The sequence below is a fragment of the Homo sapiens genome, chromosome 4 (assembly GCF_000001405.40).
Source record: "Homo sapiens chromosome 4, GRCh38.p14 Primary Assembly".
NCBI classification, from domain to species: Eukaryota; Metazoa; Chordata; class Mammalia; order Primates; family Hominidae; genus Homo; species Homo sapiens.
Genome location: NC_000004.12, coordinates 118,886,351 through 118,906,128, shown reverse-complemented (window position 1 = coordinate 118,906,128; position 19,778 = coordinate 118,886,351). Strand labels below are relative to the sequence as shown.

The 19,778-nt window shown below is 37.1% G+C and overlaps 1 protein-coding gene across 5 annotated transcripts in view; it reads right to left on the bottom strand.

The window, feature by feature from the left end:
• Positions 1-19,778, bottom strand: part of SYNPO2 (synaptopodin 2) — a 210,567-nt gene that overhangs the window by 155,119 nt on the left and 35,670 nt on the right. For 4 of the 5 annotated variants that reach the window (NM_133477.3, NM_001286755.2, NM_001128933.3 and 1 more), the window contains exon 1: positions 16,988-17,275. The exons of the other annotated variant lie outside the window; for it this stretch is intronic. In NM_133477.3, the coding sequence (NP_597734.2) occupies positions 16,988-17,092 (105 nt within the window). In that variant the 5' untranslated portion in view covers positions 17,093-17,275. Of the gene's footprint in view, positions 1-16,987; positions 17,276-19,778 lie in introns of those variants that run through there. 5 annotated transcript variants of the gene reach the window in all.

Genomic DNA, 19,778 nt, shown 5'->3' with positions numbered 1-19,778 from the left:
ATTCAACAACCTTTCAACAGGTATATCAGCCTGCCTTAAGTATCTAGTTATACATGTTATGTGGCATATGTTAATCATTCATCTTGAAAGCATTATTTTGTAATATGCCAAGAACTATGAAAAGATGGGGTTCCTACTTTCAAAGAGCAGGGTGACAACATAAGTGCAAAAAAATGCAAATCATTTAACTAGAAATACCAGTGAGGAACAAGCCCCTATATCATAACATTAGCTATATCAAAACAATAATATCTAAGTATCAAATAGGAAAGGGTTCCAATGACTGCAGTCTCCCTTGCCACCGTGGCTCCAGGACACTGAGCCCATGTGAGAATTCGAGACTCGGGTGACAAATGAGGATGACACATTCAGGAGAACATGAGAGCAGCCTCACTAGACAAAACAAGCTTGTCTGATAAGGAAGTTGTGTGGCTGGCCAGGGAAAGGGAGGAGGATAAGTACAATGAAAGGAAGTAAAGGATCTTACAAACCTGAAAAGAGATTTTTCTATGAGAGATGTGCTGGACTGTTGAAACGCACTCCTGGAAAATCACACAATGTCTATAAGGGTGAAATAACTTTCCATACTATGTTTTTACAGTTCCATGAAAATCAATTAAGACAGATTTATGCCGGACTTCCTGTGTTCTCTCTCTCTCTCTCACAGACACACACACACACACACGCACACACACACATCAGGTACCACTTCTGTTTCTTCTGCAGGTAAGGCGATATTAGGTTCAATGTCTCAATTTGCTTAGGAAGCTACAGGGAGAAGAGACTTCAAAAATCTAGATAAAGAAAGAATGGCAATTAAGAGAATAGGAGCAGTGAATAGAGAGAAGAAGGAATTTTCCAGCTCAAATAAGAAAGAGAAACAGAGAGTCAGGGTAATTGGATATCATGAAGAACATAATGGAATAAATAACATGATGGGATCCTTAATTGAATTTGTGTCTACTCTCAGTCCTGTGTCCGCAGCTGAAGGGACCCACAGTAACCTAGTCAACATGGAGCTATCTGGTCATTGTAGCATGCGGGTAGGATGGAGTAATGAACTTCCTCTCCCTGACCACAGCTCTGCACTGAGATAAAATTGTTCTGATCAACATTTCCCCATCTGGCAGGCCAGCAGCCAAAATACTGGAGACCTGAAAATGGATCACTGCATTTTGACTCCCTACAGCAACCGATAAATGTAATATAATATTTACACAAGTCAATCTAATAGCAGTTATGCTGAGCACCATCCAATGGAAACTGCTATGTTTTTCATGAAAGAAAAAAATAAAGGTAACTTCTATGGTATTATCCGACTCTCACAGATTTTGTTTTTCATTTTAGCTTGATCTCGACTGATGAAAATAACTCACCACTGTTTGAAAAGCTAAAAACTCCAAGGAGTTGAATGTATTATCATTTACTTAGAAAAAGCAGCCTTATATAGTAATAAGGTCTTGTAATTTAGAAGACAAGCATGTGGGGGTGGAGGTGGGGGAGGGAACAAAATCCTCATTAGCCTTTGCCAAAGGCCCTGGCACAGAATTTTCCTGACTATTCAGAGATCAGTGTCCTATATTTACTTACCAAGGACAATTTATTTTCTTTTATATTTTCAAAGTGCTTGAAATGATTTCTTCTCTTCGTGATGATTTCCATATGCTGTTTCCAATTAAAGGGCAATAGGTTATTCAGCAAATGTGAGGCAGCATTCTAAAACTATTAAATGCCACTTCACAAGGTGGGACTCCAAGGACTACAGGAGCCCTTCCAATGACATCCGGGTCTCAAAAATCACTGAGTAGAAGACAGCAGATATGCCTTAATTTCATAAAAGTTAGTTAGATAAAATTAGAATAACCGCAAACATGCTAATAATAATTTTTAAACTCTTGAATGTTTTCTAAGTACTAAGTGATTTGAATGTATAATTTCTAACCTGAAAACACTCCTTGGAAATGAGCGTTATGACTATCCCCATGTTACAAATGAGGAAACTGAGGCACAAAGACTAATATATTGAAAGTCCATTTGCTCTAAATAGAGCTCAACAGAATTATATGCAATTAATTACAGCTTGAGGTATTTCCTTTTAAAAATCTGTACCATTGGCGGGGCACGGTGGCTCATGCCTGTAATCCTAGCACTTTGGGAGGCTGAGGTGGGCGGATCACGAGGTCAGGAGATCAAGACCATCTTGGCCAACATGGTGAAACCCCTTGTTGAAACTACTGAAAATACAAAAATTAGCTGGGCATGGTGGCATGTGCCTGTAAATCCCAGCGACTCGGGAGGCTGAGGCAGGAGAATCACTTGAACCAGGGAGTCAGAGGTTGCAGTGAGCCGAGATCACGCCACTGCACTCCAGCCTGGTGACAGAGTGAGATTCCGTCTAAAAAAAAAAAATTGTACCATTTTTAAGTGGGACAATCATTTGATTTTATTTGGCCAAATAAAATACATAATTTTAGGATCCCTTCTCTTAAACTGATTAAACTGAATAACAAAGTAATCTTGATTAGTAACTGATACTGCAAACATTTTCTGAAATGTCATATTTATCAAAAATGAAAACTTGCACTGGGTAAAAGCATCATCGCAAGTTGTTCCATCTGGCTTTTGTGCTCTTAATTTTATTTGTATATCTGGAGTTCAGTGAATTGGACTACTGCTCTTCTTAATTTTTGAATAAATAAAACTTGTTTAGAAGACAGTTACTTCCTCCTTTAACTAGAATAACAATACTAACGACAAACCCCTTTACTGCATGATTACTGTGTGCCAGGTACACAGAAAGAGAAAGAGGCTTTCTCATGAGCTCATTCTTTTTCAGCATTTTACAATATATTATGTTTTACTGTGCCTGATTAAGTGAATTTCCATATAATTATCTAGTTTCAAGGAAATCATCTTAATGTACAGTCTTTAAAAAGCCTTCTAAGTTATATTATTAACTGACTCTTTGGGTCTCAGATTTCTCACCTATAAAACTAAGTAATATTCCAATATTTTTTTTATCTACAAAGGCAGCAATTTCGTTACATAGTACCTTATTCTACAGATGAGGAAACTAAAGCTCTGAAAAATGTCTTTAAAGTTACACAGTAAGTCTTAACCAGCACTGAAATATTTTTATCCTTTCCATGGGTTAGTTTCCAAAAAATATCCAAATAGGATTATCTATTTTTTTAAGGAGAACTGAAATTAAGACACATTAGAAAATACAGCAAAACTCTTCTTTGCTCTAGGTATGGTGTCAAGGTTAAACATGGTAATAATAATTTTTAAACTCTTGAATGTTTTCTAAGTACTAAGTGATCTAGTACAGATCTAAACAGGATCTAGGTATTAAAATTCTCCTCGACACTCCTTAAATTCCTCTTCTCTCACGGGGAGAATACATTTCAGAAGAAGAGAAAAGATTAATATTATTTGTATCAGAATTGTTACATAAGAGGTTGTAGTGATTATTCACTTAAATAAGTGCTTGACATGGTTTGGCTGTGTCCCCACCCAAATCTCATCTTGAATTGTAGCTCCCATAATTCCCACATGTTATGGGAGGGACCCAGTGGGAGAAAATTAAATCATGGGGGCGGTTTCCCTCATACTATTCTCCTGGTAGTGAATAAGTAAGTCTCACCAGATCTGATGGTTTTATAAGGGGAAACCCCTTTTGCTTGGCTCTCATTCTCTCTTGTCTGCTGCCATTTTCCTTCCACCATGATTGTGAGGCCTTTCCAGCCACGTGGAACTGTGAGTTCATTAAACCTCTTTTTCTTTATAAATTACTTAGTCTCAGGTATGTCTTTATCGGCAGTGTGAAAATGGACGAATACAGGTGCTCTAGAGACTGGTCAGTAGGCTGCTACATCATGAGAAGCCGAAATGGATGAAGAGGAAATTTGAAGACCACATTGCAAAGTTGTTCTTAAAGGACCTGTGCATTAATCATTTAATGATGGGAAAATAACCACATGGCCAGAGTTCCCAGGAGAGAGAGTTTTTCATTTTTATCACTGTGAAAGCCTGGACTTCTCATAATAATTTGTCATGGAAATATGTGCCAGCTACATTGGCACATTTACTTTTGTTGACCATACCAAGCACACTTCTGTCTCAGGGCTCCTGTACCTTTAGAACCCTGTGCCTGGAAGGCTCTTCCCCCAACTATCTAACAAGCCCACTGGATTCTTATCTACATTTATTTTCATCTACAAAATGAAAAGGAAATGAGCACTAACTAACATTGAATCTACTTTACTATGTGGATTTACAGTGGTATCCTGGTCCAGTCTGGTCTGTGGGCCAGACAGACAGTTATGTACTTCCCACAGTGCTTTGGTGACCTCACCAAAAAGGGGACCCACCTCCCAGCAGGGTGGAGGGTTTCTCGTCAATTCATTCTCTTTCAGTATTTTGCAATATATTATGTTTTACTATGCCTGATTAAGTGAATTTCCATATAATTATCTAGTTTCAAGGAAATTGACTCTCACAAAATGATTCCTATTAAAATACGTCTGAAAGGAAGTTAATAATTAAAGATAACACATTTCAAGCACAACAGAAAAACAAGAATACAGCAGAGCTGACTCTTCGCCTGTGCTCCTATGGATACTTTTCATCATATTGTGAGATTAATACCATTACTGCTTAATCCTATGTGACAGGTAGAGAAAATACTCAAAATTGTCAAGAAGATAATTTGGAATATGGGTTATTTGGAATATGTGACAGAGGAACTTTGCCTTATTGTGTCTTATGATGTGAGTTTAGTTAGTGTTACTGTGAAGCAATTGGGATTAGGAAGCTATTTAAAAACTAACATCTGAGCAGCAGAAACTTCTGGATTTGTTTTTTCAACAAGGGTTGAAGTCAGGCAATACTCAATTTAAAACTTAACAGAATTTAAGCCAAGCATAATGTTTAGAAAGATCATCATGGGTACAAATTAAAAGTGGCTAAAATAATACAATATGGCAACAAACCAAAATGTATTTTTTTGCAAGTACTGTTGAAGATGCAAAGAAAAATATATCAGAAAATTAGTATAAATAATACTAAAACAAACTACATATTGGAGGAAGTTTCCTGTATGGTTGGATAAAAAAATATATGTTGCTGGAATATCTCGGCTTATGGCATTTTCAAATTATATTTCAATACTGAAATAAAAAATTACTTCTCTGGGAATCCAAGAAAGAAAGATACTGGAGATAAGTTCTCAAAAGTATATGAAGTCTTTAATTCAAGAAAATGAATATTTTGTAGAAAAACTGTGTACATTGATAATCATTGATAAAGTACTTGGCTTTAGCAGGAACTGACAAATATCTATAGATAGATAGATAGATAGATAGATAGATAGATAGATAGATAGACAGACAGACATATATATATATATATATATATATATATAGAGAGAGAGAGAGAGAGAGAGAGAGAGAGAGAGAGAGAGAAAGAGATTCTAGGGTAAGATTACAAAGGTGCCTTAAATCAAATTCATTCAGTGCATTACTTGTAGGCAAGTTCATGCAGCAAAATAATAGAAGTGCAAAAATGCTACAGGAGGTCATGATTAATTTTATAGAAACTCACATTTAAACCATACTGGAATCTTTAAAATGTAGCAATGATATAGGGAGTGACTAGGAAAAGTTTTTATATCATACAGACATTTGTACCACTGAGGTTCCAATGGTATCTCTTGCAAATCCTTAAAATACTTGTGGAACCTAAGGATATTTCAGTTTTATTTAACAGATAAATGGATGTTCCAAATTTGTTGACGTTTTCTGTGATGACGAGTGGCTTTTAGTTGCTGGTCACCTGACATATATTTTAGGATACTAAGCATGATATATTCCCTAACATGAATTGCTTTGAAAGCAAATTTTCAAAAAGAAATGAAAGAAAATTCTTGAAAATATTTCTATAGTCAAGTGATTTGGGGCTGGAAATTATTTAAATTTATTATTCTTTAAAACATCATAATAGCACATTTAACTAGGAAGAAGAATTTCTAACCCAATTTCATATTTTTCAAATAAAAAGTACAGCAGGCCGGGTGCGGTGGCTCACGCCTGTAATCCCAGCACTTTGGGAGGCTGAGGTGGGTGGATCCCCTAAAGTCAGGAGTTCCAGGCCAGCCTGGCCAACATGGTGAAACCTCATCTCTACTAAAACTACAAAAATTAGCTGGGGATGGTGGCAGGTGCCTGTAATCCCAGCTACTCAGGAGGCTGAGGCAGGAGAATCGCTTGAACCTGGGAGGCAGAGGTTGCAGTGGGCCAAGATGGCACCATTGCGCTCCAGGTTGGGTGACAAGAGCGAGGCTGCGTCTCAAAAACAAAACAAAACAAAACAAAAAAGTACAGCCAGGGTTTAATACTAAAATATACAAATGTAGCCTATTCCAATTAGTTTGTAAGAACAAAGGGTAGACATCAGAGAAAATGAAAATCTACTGGTCAAATTGCAACAAAAATAGTTGCATTATTTATTGACGAAAATGAAAAATGATTATCAGGTAATGATTCATTTCTTCAGTGTGCACCTGCATATATTAAGAGATTATCATTTCAGCTTTGACAGTCTTTAAACTCAAGAACTGAAATAAAGTTTCACTAGACCTTTGAATCATTGTACCCCATGGGGTCACATCAAGATTTTCAAAATCTGAAAAAGTCTGTCAATCACATTGTTCTCACTTAAAAAAAAAGTTCTGGTCAGTGAGAATAAAAAGACATTTTGTATTGTCAAGAAAATAAAATACAAATAGTTTTAAAATATTGTTTATTTCACCTTTTATCTCATGCTTTAAAGTTTTCTTTTTGGGATGTTTTATACTGTACATAAAATATTAGCCCATCAGTACATGTACATATATACTATATTTTATATATATGTACATACACCCTGTATATGGGATATGCTCAAAATTGTTTTAATTTAAGAGGCACAGTCAAACCTTTTGGCTATCACTGGTCTAATGGAGGAAACAGACTTGTGAACAAAAGCTTCAGCGTCAGGCTGCACGTGGGAGCTCAAGGTGAAAGCTGTGTGTGATCACAGCAACATGGAAGAGCAAGTGCTCCCCTCCGACTAGACAATTGAGTCAAACCTCTCAGAGAACTGACTTTAACAGAGATTTCCAGGGTAAGTACAATTTCTCCAAGCATTTTAGGGAAGGTGCCAGGAGATGGGGTGGACAAGCATTCCAGCCAAGGACACAGCAGGGATGAAGCAACCAGGGAGGAACAGTGTTTGAGAGAACTGTGGTATTTTCAAATAGCTAAATGCACTTCTGGGAGGGTGACAGGTGATGGGGCTGGACAGTTTGTCAGCATCCAGATCACAGAGAGCTTCATGTGCCACAGCGGGGCCGTCGGCCTGTGAACAAGCCTCACTGCAGGGTGGCAGCTAAGGGCATGGGCTTTGTCATCAAACTGGCTTCTGTCCTGGTTTTGCCATTTACTAACTATATGATCTTCAATTTTTTACTTAACTTCTCTAAGCCTCAGTTTCCTCCACTGTTAAAAAAAATGATTGTAGGAATATTAGTAACAAAATAATTCCTAAAGTGCTTAACCCATGTCTGCACATAAGATAAAACCAATGTTATGGTTATCTCGATGACAGTGATGGGGAGCCTTTGAAGTATTTTAAGCAGTGATATAACAGGTGATTTAGAAAAATCTCTCTGGCAGCTCTCTGTAGCATGAACTCAAGGAATGTGAAACCAGAAACAAGGAGACCAGTTACAGGGCCAATATAATTATCTAAGAGACAAAAATAAGGACCTGAGCCGAGGTGGTGGGAGCAGGAACACAGAGCAGGAAATGGAATAGGGGCTACTGAGGAGGTAGAAAATCAGTATCTAGACTGCCAGCAAAACACATTGGATTTATAACCTCTTAATAATTTCACCTCTGATATGTCTTGAACTGCATGACAAAATTCTCAAAAATGGTCAGCTGCTTGAAGGTTTTTGCTTCAAAAACAAGGTATCATGCCATAGTTTTCAAGAAGACATGGAAAATCTTGCTAAGAAAATAGAAAATTATCATCCTTCAGAAAGCAGAATTATAAATGTTTCTAGCCTACTTCTATTTTATTTCCTAAATTATTCGTTCTGGAAATAAAAGTTTCAAATAAAATGATTTGACATTAAGTAATTGAGATTATACTTAATGTCAGAACAAGAAAAGCAGGTTTGGTTTAAGGGGTCACAAAAATCTCTCCAGCATGCTCTTGTTGAGATGCTGTCTTCCCGTCCTAACTGGCTGTTCAAACTACACTAGACCCAAAAGTGACATGTCTAGGAGCTTAGAACACAAGCCCTGGTTCCAGGCTCTTTAGATGTGAACCCCAGCTCTGATCATACATACCCATGTGACCTGGAGAAGTCACTTAACCTCTTTGTGCCCCTGTAATGGGGATCTTAACTAAGGGTAACCTCAGAGTTCTGTCATTATATTTAAAAGGTGATTCAAGAAGTGCCTGGCACCTAGTAAACATCATATATGAGTTTCTTAAATAAAATTTTCTCCAGAAGATACTATTAAAGGCGACAAGATATTTGGGGTTAAATGACACTCATTGGTCATGATTACAGATTTCCTAGGATAAAAATAACATGTCCTGAAAAGGTGAAATTCAAGAAGGTAAATTCTGTTAAACAGGATGAAGGAAGAGGGGTGAAGGAAGGGGGAGTATCTATAGGTAGAATCACATAAAATATTGATATGGTTTGCTCTGTGTCCCCACTGAAATCTCATCTCAAATTGCAATCCTCACATGTTGAGGGAGGGAACTGGTGGGAGGGGATTGGATCATGGGGGTGGTTTCCCCCATGCTGTTCTCATGATAGTGAGTGAGCTCTCACAAGATCTGATGGTTTGAAAGTGTTTGGCAGTCCCCGACTCACTCTTTCTCTCTCCTGATGCCATGTAGGATGTGCCTTGCTTCCCCTTCACTTTCTCCCATGATTCTAAGTTTCCTGAGGCCTCCCCAGCCATGTGAAACTGTGAGTCAATTAAACCTCTTTCCTTTATAAATTACCCAGTCTCAAACAGTTCTTTGTAGCAGTGTGAAAATGAACTAATACAGACATAAATCCATAATTCTGTTCAGGAAAGGTCATCCTTCATTTTTTTTTTTTATCAATCCAGCACCCACACTGCTTCAAAATACAAGAGGAGAAGCTAGTCATTTGTGAGTAGGATTATAAAAATCCAAAGATCAATGGTTAGGAAATAGTTATTTGTTACATAATCTAGAGACACAATTTTTCATTCACAATGTTCCAAATGGTAATTCCACCACAATTTGCTGTTCATTTATCTGAAACACACCAGATTTATATGCTAGTTAAAGGAAACTACATCCAATAATCTGCCACATGCAAAGAATTTCACAAAGACTTGAAGATACAGTTTGTTGAGACTCTGGCCATCTCTGCTTTTGAAAAACAGAAAAGAATGATAGACGATTTAGAAACACTAGGTGCCTAAAGTAATCCAAAACCATAAACATGTTCTCATTGAGGTTGTCAAATAATGAAATATCCCTCAAAAGAGCAGACATTATTTTCTTTCTGAGATGAGTCTTTTAACTTCATGAAGGTGTTTACTCTTCAGAATTCTTTAATGAATCTGTTTCAGAAATTCTCCATTTGCTTTTATAAGAACCTCACTGCATTCAGTTTCATCACGAATCTGTTAGAAAAGACACAATAAACTTGGAGTCCATATATTCTTCAGGTTTATTGATAAGCAGACTGGTTCCATTTTCAGTCTTTCTCCCATTGCACATTATCTTACAGATGTGTTCCTGTAATCATTTTCCTTAGGCCCATTAAAAAAAAGAATAGTTTGTTATCAATGTTTTCAAGGATTAAGGTTAGATTTAGTGAGATTCTATTTCATACAAACTCTGTATTAAAGTCATTGCAATTTTCAACAATACTAAGTGACAGCCTGTTCTTTTTATCCAGGCTGACGCAGGGGAGTAGCTTGATGCCCCTAACAGAGGGAAAGAATTATATTTAACTTTGGGCTTCTTTATATAATGCTTTTGCAATTAATTTATTTTTCAGGATCAGTTTTTTTAATCTATAAACTGAGAATTATAAAACTTTATCAACCGAATTAATATTAAAAGAGATAACATATATTAAGACACACTTTGGAAATTATAAGATATACACATGTGAAGTATTTTTAGCCAAATATATAAATTCGTTTATATTCTTAAACACTAATTAACTGACAGAGAGAAGTTATTTTGGAAGCTACATTAAGAAGATTGCTATGAAAAATATGCAAAATATCCAGTTAGGTATAATGTGTATGTCACAATGACACTGCATACTGATGTCCCCATTTGGCAAGGCAAGGATCCTTGCATTTCCTGTGGATGAGTGACTATCTTAAAAGGTGGCTAGATTTGAACCATCTTGCCAAGGCCCTACCCAGAAAGGCCAAACTCAACCAGAGTCTAGCAGGAGAAAGCTGGTATCTTGATGAACCAATGGGCTTGTAGGGGGTACAGAAGAGATTATCAGAAGCCTGATTTCCTGTGTTAGGGGACTGTGCACTAATGAGGCCCTCTAGCTCTCCCGGAAGAAACCATACACATGCTCCAGAATTTGGACACCAGCCTCAGAGAGGACATTAATGGGTCCTCACATTAACCAAAGAAGCACAACACCCAAAGAAGAGAGAAACGCCACCTCATTCAGTTATGAATAAATATATCTATCTGCCCCTTTCCTCTTCACATCTTTCCTCCTTCCCTCAACCATGGAGGGGCTAGAGGGATATGGGTAAAGAGCAGGTACCCTCCTTTCCATGCCACACCCTGGAGCCACAAGCCTGGCCACAGTGACTAGGGAAAGAGTTTAGAGTCAGATAGTTGACTGAAGCTTTAATTAAAGTTGACTGTTTTAATAACCAAAAGCCACCAGAAAAGATGAGATCTGCCCAAAATGTTACTAACAAAGGGATTCATCTTTATCATGTTGAAAGCAGTTACTGGAAGAAATATATGTTTATAATGGAATGAGTTGACACTCCTTAAAAAAAATCATTTACATCACACAGGTTCATATCAATCACGTGTTCTTTATGTATGTTAGTCATGAAAACTTATCACCAACTCATGTGACTTCCATTGATGATCATGTTGAAACTAATATTTCTAGGCAAAATGAATGAAAATTTGACTGGGCATAACAAGAAGTGTATATTCTTCCTCTTTCTTTTTCTTCTTTTTTTTTTTTTAAAATGTGAATCAGACTTTAGTAACCTGGGATGCTTTTTGCTATTAGGTAGATGTATAGTTTCAGTTAGCCTAGAGAAGTGTTTCTTGAATATTACTGTCAGAATATAGAATTCTCAACTTAGAATAAGAACTCTGAACTTTTACTGAGTATTAAACAAAGGCAATTGTTTTTAAAGCAAATCATATTATCTCTCTCTCTCTTCTTCCTCCCTTTTCTCCTACTCTCCTTCCCCCTGCATCTTTCTCCAGTTTTGTTCCCCTGATGTTCCCCCGACGTTCCCCCGACGTTCCCCCAACACGTCCACCCACTCCCACTTATGAAGGCACTAGGCAGGCTAGCAAGTCCACGGATGGAGAAGACAAGCTACCAGGAAATAAACTGCTAGTCTCCCCTCTTGCCAGTTCCCCTGATCTTTACAGTAATCATTTTGGAGCTTCCCAATACCTCCTCTTCCCCACTCCCGCTGACCCAGGCAGCCCATCCATTCTGGCTTCAGAAAGGGAAAACCCTCCCACCACTATTATGACCTGCTCACAGTGCCAAAAACTCAGATAATTTTTAGCCTCTCTCTGATCTTCCTCTTAACTTGACTAGGAGAGAGGCAGTGGGGAAGGGCGGAAGGGACATAATGTGCCACCACCCGTCAAGCCCTATGGGGACCTATCTGGCCTCACTTTTTTTTTTAACCTCTTCTTGAATTTTCATGACAATTATAGAACATCAGAGCAGTAAAGAATCTTAGATGATTGATGATGATGATTTCATGAACCAGCAAAATATATATAATATATATTCATATATATATATATCTTCTTTTTTAAGTTTTATTTTATTTTTAATTGACAAATAATAGTTGCATGTATTATGGGGTACAACGTGATGTAGTGATACATGTATACATTGTGGAATGATCAAATCAGGCTAATTAGCATATCCATCACCTCAAATATTTATCATTTCTTTGTGACGAGAACATTTAAACTCCTTTTTTTTTTAGCTATTTTGAAATATACAATACGTTATTATCAACTATAGTACCCTGCTGTGCAGTAGAACATCAGAATTTTTTGGCCTTAACTTTCTATAGCAGTGGTTGTGAATCTTGACCACACATCAGAATTCCCTTTGGAATGTTTATAAATCCTGATGTCCAGGGTGAACCCCAGACCAATAATGAAATCAAGGTTGGGTACAAACTATGGTATTTATTTTAAATAATCTTTCCTTTTGGGACCACTTTAACCTACTTTTATCCTCTCGGGCACCTGTTTCCACCAATAAGGAAGAAGAAAAATCAAATCTCATCATTTTTTGTAGCTTAACCATTGGCAAGCAATGTAGCCTTTCTGTGCCACAATTTCCTCATCTCTAAAATGAGGATTTTTTCATACCTACTGTTTAGGTTTTGAGGAACATTTGAAGAGATAATACTAGCAAAGCACTTGCAAATTTTCCTGGCACATAGCAAGGGCTTGACACATGTAAGCTACATATGTGCTACGTCCAGCTAATGGCAAAGTTCATGCATAATGAATATTTTATCTCATTGTCATCTTTCAGAAACCTCCCTTAAAATATACAATTCCAAAATAAGGATTTTTTAATATCGCCTACTTAATAGATTTATCTAGAGCACACTAACTTCTATAAGCATGTCTGTGTTTAAAATTCCTAGAAAGGGCTTAAAATCAATTTAAAGATTAAGTGATTAAGCATATTTTAATAAAGATATTACCAGTTTTCATATATAGGAAGGAGCATTTATTCTCAAGTATACATATTCAAACACATTAAAATCTTTTTCCCCCTTTAGAAATACCTATGTTTCTGGAATTCTTCTATTTGAAACATTTTAAAAACCTTACTGATGGCACTAAGGGATAAGAATTATATTATCTGAAATGTGCTTTGTGTAAATAATACATTTTTATTCAAAATCTTAAAGAACACATATCCAATAATAGATAAGAATTATTAAATTCATTTTGGCCTTATGAAATGAAGGATTATACAATGTCACCTCAATTTTAATGAACAATTATTTGAAACTTTGAACTAAATTCAGTAGAACACATACTATAGTGGTGCATAAGATTTGAAGAAAAAATAAATTTCTAACTATATTAAAACATATAAAGGATAAACAGTCTGAACATTTTTTTCTTAATTATTTTCAAAATGTGAGTAATTTTTCAATTGCAGGTAAGATTTTTTGTAAAACAAAAATTTCTCCCCACTCCTTTATATGAGGATTTTTCAAAGTGATTTGCCAAAAGTATGTCCTGAGACAGGGCCAGATAAGTACATGTCCCAAAAGAGAGAGTTTCATAAAGAAGAAGTGCTCACATTCTTTTTGTAAAGCTATCTGCACACACAGTGGGGTTTTCTGTTTGGATAAATTTGTTTCTGTTTATAATCTCTTGAAAATATACTTTGCAGAGTGTTATGCTATAACTCAGTGTTAGAAATGTTTGCCTCCCATCACATATATTTAGAATATAAATTAAAAGATATACAAACATTTTAAAAACAAGCTTATGTTACTGATTACTTGGGCTTTTAAAAATTTGGTTTATTTTTTAAAACAAAACAGATTTTCGTGCCATTGAGCTTAACCGTCAATGACAAGTTTTGATAATGAATATTCCTGTTATTTATCTTTAAAATTTGGGGTTTGCGTATAGTTCAACCAGCTAACCAAATACTAAACATGTTTGAACATATCTCAGAAGTGACTAAATATGTCAATATAAGGATATTTATCGGGAATTATAAAGTTATTCAATTTTTTATTGTTCTTAATAACATTAGACTGTTTTTTTGCACTATTTCTGCCTGTTAGATTTTTACTCTATATAGAATTATGAAAAACCTAAATATGTAGATATTTCACAAAAAGCCAAAATGTGTTATTGTCTACAGAACTGCTTTGTAGCATTCCCATTTTAAGGAGCATGGTTCAAGCACTCGCCGAAATTTTCTTTTCTTTGAAAATTTAAGTTTTCCTTCAACTCCCAAATTAATTTTGTGCATGTTATTCAAAACTGTGAACATTTGATTTGACAGCAACCATCTCTCTAGCCTTTCTGTCTCTTTCCTTGCATCCAGCCCTAATAAGCTATCACCAGTCCTTACAAGAAGAGAAAGTTTATGCCCAAGCAACATTCACTTTGCCTTGAACACATTGAGATACCATGAATAGAATTGAATTGACTTAATATTTTAAATAAAATACAGTGATCCTAATGAGGCAATGGCCTTGATAACAGAGAAAGTGATAAGCGCTTTGTTCCAAGGGATTTCTCCCACAAATAATGCTAGTATAAGAAATCAAACATAATCATTTGAACTAAAAAAAGAAAAAGACCAACAAAAATTGTGCATTGCCACAGTAATTTAGAACTTACATCTTCTATAGATAGCTCTTTAGTCTTTTTAACGTATGGACAAAAGGTAGACTGTAGACTACAGTCTGTCTCTCTCTCTCTCTTGCACACACAAACACACAAAAATTAAGGCAAACTTCCAGATACTTTTATAATGATATTTTAAAATCTATAGCTCTAAGTATAGTATCACAAACTACAAAAGCAAAGCAAACATCTAGATGCCTTAATAATGATCTTTTGAAAACCACAAATGTATTGCTGGGTATTTTAGGAAGGATGATTTAGGGGGAGTGTAGGACTGGATTCTGACATAGCCTAACAACCTTACTGAATCCTGAAAATAGAGATGCCATTAGCAGAGAATCTCCACAGCACCCTTTCCTAGCAATCTGCTTCAGCTCTTCAGTGAATCGCCGCAAAGAGGTCCCACATTGAAATCGTCACATGCAGAACTCAGAAGAAACCCACTACCCACTCTATTCTTGAGGCCTGGCTGCCAAAGAGCCACCAGAGAACAACAGCACTCAGCCACTCTGTCCCCATATTTCAATTAGTAGGCAAGCGATTCTAAAACTGTACACTATCAGGATCGTAGAATACTTGGGCAAGACAGAGCTTCGTAGACTGCACAGTCCAATTTCTTTCTTACTTCTTTACCACCTAAGTTAAAATATTTGTCTCTCTCTCCCTACACACACACACACACACACACAGAGAGAGAGAGAGAGAGAGAGAGAGAGAGAGAGAGAAACCGATGAGACAGGAAGGGTGAGAGATTTTCCTAAGGCCAGGCTGCAAGTTAGATCAGAGCTGGAATTAGAACCCAAATCTCATACCTAGAGCCAGCCAACTGCTATTCTAGACTCAGGACAAATCTGCTTCAGTGTCATGAATTCTACATATGCTAAATTGGGCATTCATATTTTATCTGAGGTTGCCTGCTATTGACTCCTAAAGGAACCCAACAAAACCACCTTTCTGAGCCTTTAATCACTCTGCCAGTTCCAAGCTGAAAACTTAAGGCAAGTTACTTAACATCTCTGGGCTCTTTCCTCATCTAAAATTCATGGGTTGAACTGCAGACCTCGGAGGAACTTTCCAGTAATAAAAACTCTGCTTTTCATCTACTGTTTTATGGTTCATTCTTGATGTTTGCAATTTTCACTAGGTGGCAGGATTCCACCATCACATTACGAAAGGATTTACATATGATGCCTGGAAGCAAAAAGGAGTTTCAAAGAAACTTCTTTCTTCGCAAAGGACACTAAAAAAAAAAAAACGTAAAAGGCAGAGGGAAACAATAACTACAAAAAAAAAAGAGTAAAAGCCAGAGGGAAACAAACAATAACTACAAAGGCAATGGCCCATGTATTTCATAAAGATCTGTACCCATTTTTAATATAAGCATAAAATAGGAAATTAATCCCATGCTCTTGCATGTTCTTCAATACAATACTATAATTTGCAATTTGATGATAAGGTTAGGTAAAAGTTTGCTTAGTTTTGTGCATTTTAAGTTTTATTTTAGCTGAATGCCAATTAGAGAATACCAGATCCCCTTGGGCTAACCAGTAATGCAGGCAATCTAATGGCAATAAAAACTTAAAGCATTTTAAATAGTTATTAATGTGTTACAAAGTTACCTCTTAGTTACTCATAATATATTTAGATTATCTTCTAAGTTTATTTTTGAGATCTTGACCAAAAGAGTACATAAGAAGGAATACAGCATTTATTGGATTTTTGCATTTATTTGTCAAATCCTTAAAAGGGTATTCTTTTAAATAGATTTTATGACACTTCATCATACTTTTAAAATTATTGCCCAACATTGGCCTTTTCATGAATGCTGCATAATAAATGTCACTACCAACACTCTATATGAGTCCCCAAAATAGCCAAGCAAAGTCGTTATGCTGAACTGAGCGTTTCTCCTCTGCCAGAGCCAAGTGAAGTGACATCAAACAATAACTCAACTGAACATTCTAAAATTGCCTGGAAGAAACGCTCCCCAGTGTCTTGCTTGTTGTCAGAAGAACATGGTTAACTAGGCCTTTTCCTCAGCTGATAAATATGGCATTCTTCCCACCCACCCCTCATCGATTGCAAGTTAATTACATAGGATGTGGCCCATTACTCTCCAAAGTTTCTTAGAAAATAACTCACTTCCTAGAAAAATCTTAATATCCGCAGCAAAATCAAATAATACTTAGACTTCTGCATCAGAACCTGAAAACACCATCAGCAGGTTGCTTTCATTCCTTCCTTCCTAGCACAGAGCCGTGACACTTCGTTCAGGTCCTACCTTTGCAACTTGTAAGGGCTGCTTCTGCTCCTTGCCACCTTGCAATCTGAACCCCCAGGGCGCCCCTCCAGTCATGGAAATGCAGATAAAATCCCCTGTGCCCATGTTTTCCTTTTAGTTGGGCAGCATGAAGAGCTTGACGAGACAGACGAAGCTTGGGTGCGGTAGAGGATGCGCACTCAGCTTCGGGCGCCTGCCGAGGACGCAAGACTGGGTAATGCAGAGCGTCCGCCGCTGCTGCAGCCGCTGCCCCAGCCGCCGCCCCAGCCGCCTGCTGCGAATTTGTGCGGCTAATGGGCTCATTCTCAAGGAGGCAGAGGCGCTCGCAGCATCCAGGACACAGCCCACTCTTGCGTCACTCTCCTTTGCTCGGCCCACCTTCGAGGAAAGGAAAGCAGCTTCACACACAGGAGAATGTCCTCACGTGGGGCGAGATAAGGGAAAGGAGGACGGAAGGGAGAGCCAAAGTTATCTTGCACTAACAGATTAAATCCAAGCAGTTAATGGTATAAGTATGATTGAAAAACTTACATTTAATAATTCTGTAAATAGTAAAGGACACATGAAGGTTTAATCTCCACGCCATGAATGACGTCCTAAAATAGGAGCGTTGGGAATTCAACTACTAGAGGATTAGATTCTCTCAAATAAATGTTTTGAGACTTGCCACATTTATGAATGGAATAGACAAAAAAGAGTTAAAATGAGTTAAATTACTACTTTTCTGTCTGCATTCTGCTGAATTATTCCTATAAGAGGAAACAAAAGAAAGCACAAACTTTTTGTTAATAAACCTCCAGCTCTGAAAAGTACCTTTCTGAACCATATATTTAGAGAAAGGGGAAGAGAAGAGACAGAAAGGGAGAGAGAAAGAGAGAAAATGAATATGAATTTTTCTCCTGGAAACTACATTCTTATAATTACATCTATTGCATAGTTTTGGGTATGTTAAATTTTAACGTGTTTTGTTTTCTTTCTACCTGCTGATCTTCTTAAACCCAAACCCAACAGTTAGTCAACTGCATAAAATGTACAATGTCACCTACAGGTTTCTTATTTTTATAGTTTGTCATCCCATGTCATGAATCTGGGTGGTCCAATATAAAAGCAGATTTTGTATATTCCAAATATTTAAATGTTTTAAATCTGAATACAATCTGCCAAAAATGTACAAAAAGGACATTTTAATTTTCCTATAATACTTTTGTTTTCCATAACATTCATCCACATAAAAACATACTAAATAAGGAAGAGCCTGGGAAAGTTTGTTTGTGTTACTTGTGGTACCAAACAAAATTTCCAGACACGCTGCCTGTTTCAGCACTAAGAAGCACTATATACAGTAAGTCCTCACTTAAAACGTCACAGATAGGTTCATGGAAACTGTGACTTTAAAACCAATTTTACCATCGACTAATTGATAAAAACAAGGTTAAGTGACTACAGTCTATTTCTGGTCACAAAGACATCACCAAACTTTTAAATAAGATTAAAACACTTCTAATATTAAACATGGAAATAAATGTCAGCTACACATGCATTTAAGAAAGATTAATAAAAACAAGATAATCATGGACCCAATTTTTGGTGAATCAGTGAGTGAGGGCAGCTGTAGTGGTGGTGGATTCAATCAAGGAATAAATGTTTGCAAAAGGAAAATTATAAGGAGTACCTCCTGTCACAATGCAGTTCAAAACCACCACAAATATAGCAGGCTCACTGAGAAATTTCATACAGCATCATCTATTGCTGTGCATTTGTGTGATTAACATATATTTTATGAATTTTTTTTGAAAATAATTTGCATCCATACATTCATTCCTCCTCCAACCCACTTATTCCCATTCAGGATCTCCAGTGGCTTGAGCCTCTCCCTGCAGCTTAGGGCGCAAGGCAGGAATCAGCCCTGGACAGCCCTGACCATCCCATCAGAGGGTGCACACACACACACACACACACACACACACACACACACTCACTCAGATGGGGACCATTTAGACATGCCAGTTCATCTCATGAGCACAGCTTTGGGATGTGGCAGGAAACCAGAGGACCTGGAGAAAACCTATACAGACATGGGGAGAACTTTCAAACTCCATACAAACAGTGGCCCCAGCTGGAAATACATTTTTTTTTCTCATCAATGTTGTCATGAAACAATGTTGAATAAAATGGCATTATTCAAGGACCTGTGGTACAATGAACATTTTACACAGCCCATGCTCCCCAGAAGCCAAAGGCATCAAGTGATTTTATTTGTGACTCATCACTGGAGTGAGGACAATGAAATCAGAGATTGTGGCACTGGAAGAGACCCTTTGAAGGTCATGAGGGCCAGATACTCATCCCAAGTTTGATTCTTTTCAGAAACACGAATTGACTTTCCCAGTCTTTCCTTTAAACAATAGTTACAAGAGACATCATAAAATATGAGCTTTGACACTAATTACAATAGCAAAGACTTGGAACCAACCCAAATGTCCATCAGTGATAGACTGGATAAAGAAAATATGGCACATATACACCATGGAATACTATGCAGCCATAAAAAAAGAATGTGTTAATGTCCTTTGCAGGGGACATGGATGAAGCTGGAAGCCATCATTCTCAGCAAACTAGCACAGGAACAGTAAACCAAACACCACATGTTCTCACTCATAAGTGGGAGTTGAACAATGAGAACACATAGACACAGGGAGGGAAACATCACACACTGAGGCCTGTCGGAGGGTGGGGTACAAAGGGAGGGAGAGCATTACGACACATAACGCATGCGGGGCTTAAAACCTAG